The 11,015-nt window shown below is 44.2% G+C and overlaps 2 long non-coding RNA genes across 3 annotated transcripts in view, besides 3 other annotated features; one reads left to right on the forward strand and one right to left on the reverse strand.

The window, feature by feature from the left end:
- LINC00390 (long intergenic non-protein coding RNA 390) overlaps positions 1-11,015 on the reverse strand; it is a 41,645-nt gene that overhangs the window by 25,703 nt on the left and 4,927 nt on the right. The window contains exon 2 of the long non-coding RNA NR_132368.1: positions 5,310-5,492. This is a non-coding gene — a long non-coding RNA (long intergenic non-protein coding RNA 390). The remainder of the gene's footprint in view (positions 1-5,309; positions 5,493-11,015) is intronic.
- The window catches only part of SMIM2-AS1 (SMIM2 antisense RNA 1), a 43,531-nt gene that overhangs the window by 21,245 nt on the left and 11,271 nt on the right, over positions 1-11,015 (forward strand). The window contains exon 1 of one of the 2 annotated variants that reach the window (NR_104064.1): positions 10,535-10,903. The exons of the other annotated variant lie outside the window; for it this stretch is intronic. This is a non-coding gene — a long non-coding RNA (SMIM2 antisense RNA 1). Of the gene's footprint in view, positions 1-10,534; positions 10,904-11,015 lie in introns of those variants that run through there. 2 annotated transcript variants of the gene reach the window in all.
- Positions 9,313-10,272: an enhancer, noted in NCBI's record as "NANOG-H3K27ac-H3K4me1 hESC enhancer chr13:44715242-44716201 (GRCh37/hg19 assembly coordinates)". NCBI's record gives its function as "activates a minimal SCP1, AML or CMV promoter by ChIP-STARR-seq in primed H9 embryonic stem cells {active_cell/tissue: H9 hESC(primed)}" and the evidence as "EXISTENCE:reporter gene assay evidence [ECO:0000049][PMID:30033119]".
- Positions 9,939-10,148: an enhancer, noted in NCBI's record as "active region_7671". NCBI's record gives its function as "activates an Ori minimal core promoter by ATAC-STARR-seq in GM12878 lymphoblastoid cells {active_cell/tissue: GM12878}" and the evidence as "EXISTENCE:reporter gene assay evidence [ECO:0000049][PMID:35858748]".
- Positions 10,299-10,448: a silencer, noted in NCBI's record as "silent region_5304". NCBI's record gives its function as "represses an Ori minimal core promoter by ATAC-STARR-seq in GM12878 lymphoblastoid cells {active_cell/tissue: GM12878}" and the evidence as "EXISTENCE:reporter gene assay evidence [ECO:0000049][PMID:35858748]".

Raw genomic sequence — 11,015 nt, forward strand, 5'->3', positions numbered from 1 at the left:
CTTCAGGGAAACAAAGAGACACCACAGGGACTGCATCGCTGGGAACAAACAGTGGTCTCTGGTGAGAGACACGAGGGTCATGTGCATGTGGCAGGTGAGGGGCTCAAGAAGGACTGTGAGATATTTATTGAGGTGAGGATAGCTATGGCATTTTAAAGAACGGTGGCATTTGATTTTTTATTCTAAATAGTTTTCCTTCTGCATCATCTTGTGACCCCTTCCATAACCTCAGCCCTCCCATAAGTCTTTACATATGGCAGCTTTGTGTGGGGGGATATTTGGGGAAGAAAAGACATGAGATGCTGTCTGGTGAGGGGAAGGAGGGATAGGACAGTAACTGCAGGAGCTGTGAGTGGTCACTAAGAAGAGGCGGTCATGGAGGAAAGGCTGGAGCACAGGCCACTTCACCTCAGGAGTGGGTGTAAGATGACCCCCTTTCATTCAAAATGCACTAGAAGAAGGTGGCCCTGATGGCAAGGTGGGAGGGGAAAGCTGGTTCTTACCGGGAAAGGGGCTGTACTGGCAGGAGACACTGAGGTCCTTAAGAAACAAAAAATCACATTTCCCTGGTTTGAATGAGAACCCACACACACATACAGATACACATAATTAATCTTTGCTATTTTTTGGCTTACTTAAAGTTTTATTTATCTTTCATTACAGAATTTATCACATTATACTGTATTATTTCTGATATATTCATATGTTTTATAAATGAACATGTGAACTTTATATCTTTTGCACCAGCAAAGTGCCTGGCATATGTTGAGTTGTTTATTGAATGAATACTTGAATAAATGGCTGCTACATATATTTGTTAACAAGATGAAACTCTGAGTCACTCAGCAGAATCGGGTCTCATTTGCCATCATGGGGCTGATGTCAGTTTTGTTCCTACCTTTCTGCACCTCCCTGATCCATTTAGATGAACCCTGGCTTCAGGAAGCACTAGTTCTATGATGTCCTACACTGGAATCTACAACACTCTTCTACGCACCACAGTTTCTGGCTGAGGAGGAAGTGTGAACAGGCTGGCGTGGGCATGTCACTCTCACTGGGCCTGGCAGAGCTGGCCAGCTGCACCGCCCAATACAGGGGTCAGCTTGTTGCCAAAAGCAGTAGTGGCCTTGTGAGTAAGCTGAGTGGGCAGGCATAGCCTGAGTCATTTGATAAGTGCCCGGAAGCTGACCATCCCACGGCCCCCGACATTGAACTTCCCATTTCCTGTTACAGTAGCCAAAACTCTACCACCCTTAGCTATTCATGCTTTTGGATCTTTCAGAGATCTCAATTAGTGAGTATTTGTGTAGGCTTCCAGTATAGGGAGAGAAGGACAAGTGAGGAAGACAGTGAGAAAAAGAAATGGGAGGAAGATACAGATAGGCTTTGCACCCTTCCCTGTCCTTGAGCAGGACAATGCTTTCTCAAAAGAATAGCTTTAGCTCTTCCAAACTGCCCAGAAGACCATGAGAAGCCCACAGGGTCAGGACTCTCCACATGTCTTCTTACACACATACTTTCTCTGTCAGCCATACAACATCTGAAAACTCACACACATGAGAGAGATGGGAGAGAAGGAGAAGAAGATCAAAACAAAGTGTGCTGTACAGTAAAGGCACTGTAATCTTGACCTGATATCCCAGGCCCACATTTCCAGGCTCCCTTCCCCAACCAGGTAAGACCCAGGATCTGAAGAAGAATCCTTTTCTAGATGAAGGTTATGATTAACAGGAAACACACAACTGTATTTTCCTGATCCCAAATTAGAATGTAGGATCAGACATATCTGTAAATATTTATATCTATGAAGTCTTAAAAAAAGGAAAACAAACGAAATTGCTGCAGTTTACATGTAACAAATCTCCTTTATTGATGAATGGATTTAACTTTATTGACTTTGGTCTGGGAGAGACGTGTGAATCAGGTCCTCCACCTCATCAAGACCACTCTGAAGCTGCTGCTCTTAACCACCTACACCATGGACGTATGCACAGGCCAGCCCCTGGAATCTCCATTTCATTTGCCTTTCATGACCTTTTGCCTTTCAAATCATTGAACAAGTGATTTGTTATGCTTTCACTTCTCATTCTAAGTAAATGTTCACTTTTTTTGTTTGTCTTTAAGAGATGAGGTCTTGTTATGTTGCCCAGGCTGAACTTGAACTCCGGGGCTCAAGTAATCCTCCTGTTTCAGCCTCCTGAGCAGCTGAGACTACAGCCCTGAGCCACTGTGCCCAGCTAATATTCACTTTTCTATCTAATTTTGCTTTTGTGATTTTGTATTCCTTTTCATCAAGAGGGCCCCCATATTATATAAGTTTCAGTCCCTACAAAGTTGTATCCGCCCTTTCATATATCTACCCATGTAGTGCACGCTCTTAGTGTGCATAATCACACAGGAAATCTCAACTAATGGATATTTCATAACCATGATTTTTTTTTCTTTTTTTTTGAGACAGAGTCTTGCTCTGTGGCCCAGGCTGGAGTGCACCTTGGCTAATTGCAACCTCTGTCTCCTGGGTTCAAGTGATTCTCCCGCCTCAGCCTCCTGAGTAGGTGAGATTATAGGTGCCCGCCACCATGCCTGGCTAATTTTTGTGATTTTAGTAGAGATTGGGTTTCACCATGTTGGCCAGGCTGGTCTCGAACTCCTGACCTCCTTGCCCACCTCAGTCTCCCAAAGTGCTGGGATTATAGGCATGGGCCACTGCTCCCAGCCACCATGATTCTTAATTAAGCAGAATGTTGTCTACATAATGCTCTTAGAAGCAATTAATGAAATTAAAGGAATGGAAGCAGATAGTGGAGATTTCTATTGCAGAAATGTAGCAAGTATTTAACCTGGTCCCCAGACTTTTGTCCACCTGTATGCACAGAAAAGTATGATAGCAGCTAACACTCACATAGTGTTTACTGTGAACTAGGCCCCATTTAGTCCTCGTAGCCACCCATTGAGATAGGTGCTAACTCATTTTACAGATAAAGAAACTGAGGCGTAGAGAAATCAAGCATTTCCAAAGTTACACCTAATACAAGGCACACCTGGTTTGTTGACCCAGGCCACCTAGGTCCAGAATCCAAGGTCTCCACCTCTATGCTATTATCACCTATGTAGGGTCATTGCTGATGTTTGAGATGATGATCCAGTAGCACAGAAACAAATCACTACTTTGTTTTCTACTGACAAATATTGTCTTTTACTCTTAGCATTCTGGTTAAATAAAATCATGGTTGCTTTCCTTTCAGTTTCCTCCCTTCCTCAGCTAGGAATGAGAGATATCCCTGGACATGCCTGACACATAGTCTGACACATTGGCAAGGGTTGAAGTGGGCTGAGTGGTGCCCCCAAAGATATCAGGCCCTAATCCTCAGAATCCGTGAATATTCTTTTATATGGTAAAGTTTTCACAGATACATCTAAATTAAGAATCTTGAGATGAGAAGATAATCTTGAATTATCTGGGTGGCCCCTAAATACCATCAAAAGTGTCCTTATGAAAGAATGGCAGAGGGGAGTTAAACACACAAAGGAGACAGCAATGTGAAGGCAGAAACAGAGACTGGAGTGATGCAGCCTCAAGCCAAAGAACAGGAAGGAACGCTTCCAGCAGAAGCTAGGAGAGGCAAGGGACTGATTCTTCCCTAGAGCCTCTGCAAGTAGTGTGGCTCTATTGACACTTTGATTTCACATTTCTGGCCTCCATAACTGTGAGAGAATACATTTCTGTTGTTCTAAGGCATCAAGGTTGTGGCAATTTGTTACACCAGCAATAGGAAACTGATACAGGGGTCAATACATAGTAGCCAAAACAGTTTAAATGCAATAATAGTCATAACTGCCATGCCTTGCACCCTTGCAATGTACTGGGTATGTACTGTGTGACATACAGTCCTCCATTTCATTCTCATAAGGTGAATGAAGAAACTGAGGTCACACAGCTACTAAATGGCAGAGGAATGATTCAAACTAAGGTCTGTCTAACTCCAAAAACCACGAACAGAAAGATTACACTATACTGTAAATTCCAGCATCCTACATAGACATTCATTCCACTAAAATGATATCCAAATCCTAACAGTTCTTAATGATCACTATGGGTAGATTTATTTCTTAAATTTTCCCTCTTTGTCCATACACCCTCTCCCATTTTGTTATCTGTTGGTTGCTCTTATTGCCACTTAAAAAAAATGGTGTCCAAATTACTATTAGCCTGTTTTCCAAATGAAGAAACTGAGGCACAGAGAGGTTAACTCACTTGCTGGAATCCTGCAGAGCCTGGTCCTGGAAACTGTGCTCTCACTACTCTGATACATGCCCCTACAGAATCTTAGTCTGGGTCGGTAAGAAATATCTGGCAACTTTCTACTTTTTTCTCATGTGGCTTTTAGTTTGTAGAGTAGGTGTACCAGCTCTCTGTGCACACTTAAAGGTTAATTAAACCACTACAAAATGCAAAAGCAGCCAGGTCTTTGTTTCTGAGGTAATAAAATCACAAATGATTCCTATTCAAAAATGAAGGCTATAATATTCTGTTGCCAGTGGATTTTGTGCATTTTTCCTGTTTTAACAACGTGTACTTCTCTCTTCACCAGAAACATTAGGTCACAAAAGCCAATCTCATCTACATCTTTACAATGTTATTTATCATCTTTTTGCATGCGGGAGATAGAACTGGTAATGAAACAGCCAAATTGGATTCTAGCGAGGATTTGTCCTGACTTAGAATACTTTCAGAATCCATTCATAATGCCTCTGATTTATCATTAAGCCCCCTGGAGCCATTTATTTTGGGCCAGCTTTTCAGGGATAGGACATCAGTTGTGTGCTAGTTATTGGAAATTATAACACAGCTGATGAAGTGTGACAACACAGAGTCCATTGGATTTGCAAAAGATTACAGAAGGGTGTTACAGAAGTCAACAGCTATTATGCTGAAAATGTCTCTGAGCAGAGAGAGACATAAGGAAATAGATTCTATCCTGCTCCCTGTCATCTCTCCTAGGGTCTTTGGGTTCAGCGTACGTGAATTCCCCTCCCACAGTTCCTTTTCCTACCCCTGCAGTTTTTTTAGCATCTACTCCCGCCCACTCCCTCTCTCCCTCAAGCAGGTTATCATACAAAACTAGAAATAGGGAAGAAGGGTGGCTTGATACTTATGGCTGTGAAATGGTAGGTGGTTAATTCAGCCACATCATGGATACAGTTATGTTAAGCAAAGGGCAGACAGCATGTTATTAAATGAGGTTTTAGCTGACCCATAAAATCCAAAACACTTCAGAAACCATGAATCATAGTCTTGTCATACTCACTGTAGCATCCACTTGAAGGTGTTCTAGGTCAGCCTTTCCCCTTCCCACAGTGTATGTGGCATGCCCAGGAGAAGCTGGAGGAGGGGCAGTGGTGAATTATTTCAATCTCTCTGGCAATATTTTCGAAAATTGCCAACGTGCACATCTAGTGACCTAATGATTATACTTTTTGGTGATTCCATCCTAAGGGAAAAGAAAAGCATGACTTAGTACACAGGAAAATATGTTCAAGCATGTTTATTACAACATGATACCCCATGGTTAAAAAAATCTGGTAGGAAACAATCTGCATTTCTAGCAATAAGAAGTGTTTGAAGAAAGCATGGGAAATATCTACTATGGAATATCATGCAGCTATAAAAAAGAATGAGTTAGATCTATATGCATGAACCTAGAAAGATATCCACATAGATTATTAAGTGGGAAAAAAAGTCAGTTACAGAGTAACACACACAATAGCATATTATCAAACTTTAAATTACTAGGGCTTTCCCCAGAGAGTGCCATCATGATAATATCATCTCTAAGTTTGAGATGATATTATCTCATCAGCATATCCATAATGCAAAAGGAAACTGGAATCACAAGTTGAGGTGGTTTCAATACAGCTCTTCTTAGACAGGCAGATGGACTTTACAACATATGCGTGTCCTGCCCAAGCTTATACTACACTGGTAATCCTCATAAAGTAAAAATACCTCTTAGTCTCCAGAGAAATCTCTTCAAGTTGGGATTCTGGTGGGATATTAGGTTTAGGGGTAAGATGAAAGAAAGCGTTTCAGATTTGCCTTTTCTTTCTCTTTTCTTTTTTTTTTTTTTTTTTTTGAGACAGAGTCTTGCTTTGTCACCAGGCTGGAGTGCAATATTGCGATCTTGGCTCACTGCAACCTCTAACTCCCAGGTTCAAGCGATTCTCCTGTCTCAGCCTCCCGAGTAGCTGGGATTACAGGCACATGCCACCACGCCCAGCTAATTTTTGTATTACTAGTAGAGATGGAGTTTCACCATGATGGCCAGGAGGGTCTCGATCTCCTGACCTTGTGATCTGCCCACCCAGGCCTTCCAAAGTGCTAGGATTACAGGCGTGAGCCACCACACCCGGCCCATATTTGCCTTTTCTAAATACACATGCCCATGCCCCATCACAGACCTATCATCTTTTTTTTTTTTTTTTTAGAGTTAGGGTCTGATTCCGTTGCCCAGGCTGGAGTGCGGAGGCATGCTCACGGCTCACTGCAATCTTTAACTCCTGGGTTCAAGCAATCCTCTACCTCTGCCTCCTGAATAGCTGGGATTGTGGGATTGCAGGCATGTGTCACTACTCTTGGTTAACTTTAAAAAAAAATTTTTTTTTGAGAGATGGGTGTCTCTTTATGTTGCCTAGGCTGGTCTCAAACTCCTGTCTTCAAGTGATCCTCTCAGAGCCTCAGCCTCCCAAGTCGCTGGAATTACACATGTGAGCCACCAGACCCAGCTCACAGACCTAAACAATCTTAATTTCCAGGAGGGTAGAAATGGAAAATGGGGGAGGAAAGCCAGAATGTGTAAAAGCACCTCAGATGATCTGGCCAATCTTTCCCTCTTTTTAAAAACCCCGTTGAAAATAACTATCTTAAAAGTATATGCTCTGTTTCAATTACCAAGAGGCAGCTGTAATGAAGATAGTGACAATACCATTAACAATGTGCTAGACACTGATCTAAGGGAATTCATATCAATGAATTCATTTAATTCTCACAACATCCAACAAGGGAGGTATTAATTATTATTATCCCCATTTTATGAGATGGGAATAGGCAAAGTTAAGGTTAAGAATCATTACAAAGCTAGCTTGTGGTAGAGCCAGGGTTCAAAACCTAGGAAGTGTAGCTTCAGTCTATAGGAACAGATGTGAATCACAGCAAGCAAAAAAGGTGAGGCGTATGAGCTCACATCAACATTTTCATGCCCAAAGTTTCTCATTTATCTTGTCCCTTGGAGACCTAAAGAGTGGTTCTATTTTTTAGAGCTCATTCACTGCTGCACTTCTGATCACTGAATTGCCCTTGCCCTTTGAATTATTCAGTGTTTCTGGAGAAATAGTTCTGAAAAAATATGCTGTATTATTTCTCTCTTTCTTTCCTCCTTCAGTTCCTCCCCTGCCATGAAACCAGACTCTGTTGATACACAGAGAACTGTGCAGAAGTCTTCCACTAGAAGAGTGCACAAAAGTGGGCTGAAATTTCATGAGGTCCAGTTCTTCTTGAGTATGTTCCTAACAGGTGCTACTTTCCATTTAGACTTGTCTGTAAAATTAGCCTGTGAATACTGGCTTGCCTCTGCAATCACTTGCCTAGGTGGGGAGGTGCTGAAGGAGACAGGTGTGTATACATTCCTTTCTTTAAAGAAGGCTTGTTTTCAGTTGAAAATGTGGAAATTAAGACTTTCTTGCCTTCAAGAATTATGATGTTGTGGGAGTAAAAAAAAATCCTAAGGGTTAAGGGCCAGTTCTGCCACTTTGTTAAGTGTCTTCAACTAAGTCACTTAACTTTCTGAACCTCAGTCTCCTCACTTGTAAAATGGCACCATAAATTTTTGCCCCACTTATTTCACAAGGTTGTTGTGCTGATCCAAGAAAGAACTCAGATCTTCTGGTTTCATGCCCATGGTGTCCATTTCATCCATCTATCAGTTTTTCATTTCTTTATTCATTCATGCAACATGTATTATATCTCCCAAGGGTTAGCTAAGTGAAAAATGTATGCATGTTGGGAGGTTGGGGGAAGAAAGGGAGAGAAGCACCCCAGATTGGGAAAGGGCACTGAAGGTAGAGAAAATGAGGTGTTTAAGACAGTGGTGTGAGCAAGGACCTACAGCAGCCCATGACTCCACATTCTAATATTTTTCATGGTATTCCAATTCCTCTGTGGCCATTAATTCTTAAAGTTTCAAGTCAAAACCATCTTAACCTCATCCAAGCTGGGTTCCTTAGCTAATACCTTCTTCTACATCTTCTCTCCAGGCCCCCATGGCTCCTTCTATTTAAAGTACAGGTGGTGAGCAGAAGTAGTCAAGGCTTATAAGCCAGGCTGCTCCTCAAATGCAGCCGTAAGAAAAGAAATCTGTGGGGTGTTTTAAATGCATGCCTGATATAAAGATAAACCTCGGGTATCATATATCAGGGGATCCCAACCCTCAGGCCACCTATTGGTACCAGTCCATGGCCTATTAGGAACTGAGCCGCACAGCAGGTGAGCAGCAGGCAAGCAAGCGAAGCTTCATCTGTATTTACAGCCACTCCCCATTGTTTGCATTGCCGCCTGAGCTCTGCCTCCCATCAGATCAGCAGCAGCGTTAGATGCTCATAGGAGTGCAAACCCTATTGTGAACTGCACCTGCCAGGGATCTAGGTTGGACGCTCCTTAGGAGAATATAATGCCTGATGATCTCTCACTGCTTCCCATCACCCCCAGTTGGGACCGTGTAGCTGCAGGAAAACAAGCTCAGGGCTCCCACTGATTCTTCATTATGGTGCGCTGTATATTTCACTATATATTGCAATGTAATAATAATAAGGCACAATAAATCTAATGTGCTTGAATCATCCCAAAAGCGTTCTCCCCACCTCCACCCTGGTCTGTGGAAAAACTGTCTTCCATAAAACCAGTCCCTGGTGCCAAAAAGGTTGGGGACCACTGTCTTACATGATATATAAAGTGCAAGTTCTATGTGTCCCAGAAAAGGATTTTAAAGGTAATTCATGGTGTGTATCATGGCGTCTATCTTGTTACACATTAGTAATACTTTGAATGTGTAAAGTGCTTCTCCCTGTTCTGTTGGATTTATCTTTGAAGTAGCTCATAAAGATAAAGATATGAGTATAGAAAACATTCCTTCACTGGCCCTATTTTATAAATTAAGGAACAAAGACTGGATGCAACATGTGGCAGATTATGCGAAAAATCTAGTAGCTGAGCAAACATAAGAATTCAGGTTCCCTGGATTCCAGGACAGAGTTGACTTCCCCATCTGAAGTGATACATGAGCACAATAGGTTTTCATCGTCATTCAGATTATAATGGTTCCTTTTACTCTGATAATATTGCTGATATTTCTAGAAATAGCTTGTTCATCCATTTATTAATCTCATAAACCCCTGACTGGGGGAAACAGAGTGGAAAGTGGTCAGAAATGGGGCTGGAACAGTAATCAGGAAGCCGGAACCTCCATTGCCTCAAGAGCTAAGTTCAGTGTCAGGCCTTTGTCTCGAGGGCAACGGGGAACTCTGTAAAGGTATTTAAGTTGGGGAATGTAGTGATCAGCAGCATTTGGCAGCAATCACCCTGGGCTGGAGTGGGCCTGACAGGAATGGGCAAATCTTGGGGCAGGAAATCCAGTCAGAAGATTATGACGATAAAGCAGGTGAGAGATGTTGGTGTCCCAAGGGCAAAGGGGGATCCCATCAAGACATGAGAACCGCCACGTCGTTCTTTCCCCAATCCCACTGTTTCTAGATTTTTCCTTCTAGGAGGCCTGCAAATGTGTTTCCGGGAGGAAAATCCGTCCCTGCTATTTCTCCAGCCTTCCCTTGTTACCGGTCCGGCCCTGCCCCTTTAACATTCAGGAATGAGAGTGGAAGCAGAAGGCCCAGGTCCCCGGAGGTCCCGACGCCCGGATTCCACAGCCTGTGAGGGTCCCTTGAGCAGAGCGGGACGAGGCCACTGGCACTACGTCGTGACTTCACCAACAGCCTGCAGTACTCGTTAACGAGATTTCGCCAGGCCCCTTGGACTAACGCCAGGATTCTCGGTGCCCGCAGTCAGCGCTCTGGGATTAGACAACGCCCCACAGGCCGCGGCTCTCTGCTGACCCTCAGCAGCGATGAGACCGGCGCGCACAAGCCAGCAGCCACTAGCTCTCCCACAAGGCCGAGCGCGGCCAAAGGGCAGCCCCGCCCGCTCCGCCTCCCCCAGCTCTATTGGCTAGTGCACCTGCCACTCAGCCGCGCGCCGGACTCCGGCTTCGGGCCTGGAGGAGGGATCCCAAGCCTCCTCGGCTCGGCTCGGCTCGGCTCGGCTCGGCTCGGCTCGGCTCGGCTCGGCTCGGCTCGGCTCGGCTCGGCTCGGCTCGGCTCGGCTCGGCTCGGCTCGGCTCGGCTCGGCTCGGCTCGGCTCGGCTCGGCTCGGCTCGGCTCGGCTCGGCTCGGCTCGGCTCGGCTCGGCTCGGCTCGCTTGTCCTTGAGGTTTACTGTGTTTGGCATCGCAGTTCCGACGGCAGCCGCCGTTTCGCGACCCACGGCGGACTTGCATAAACACTTTCTAGTTGGAATCTCACCCTGTGAGGTGGGCAAGGTAGTGATATTCCTGTTTGACGCCGACAGAAATAAGAGAGATTGACTCTCAGAACCATGTGGCGGGATTTTAAAGGAGGATCTTAACAGTGGCTCGGACAGACCCGTGTTTTCTGCTCCTAGCATTAACTACGTCGTTAAACCCTTCTGAATTTATTTCGTCTGTGAAATGGGGAAAAGATAGCCACCTTGCATAACTGGTGAAGAATTCGTAAACTGACAGCAGAATCTAGTAAGAGGACTGGCCCGTGGTCGGCTCTTAATGGTGTGTATGGGGCTATGAACATTCCCAGGTCTTCTGACCTCTAGTCTGGGACTCTTTCTGCTAAACTAGGGATTCTTAGAGGTCCAGAGACTTCGGGAGATCCAGGGGCATC

Source organism: Homo sapiens, chromosome 13, assembly GCF_000001405.40.
Source record: "Homo sapiens chromosome 13, GRCh38.p14 Primary Assembly".
NCBI lineage: Eukaryota > Metazoa > Chordata > Mammalia > Primates > Hominidae > Homo > Homo sapiens.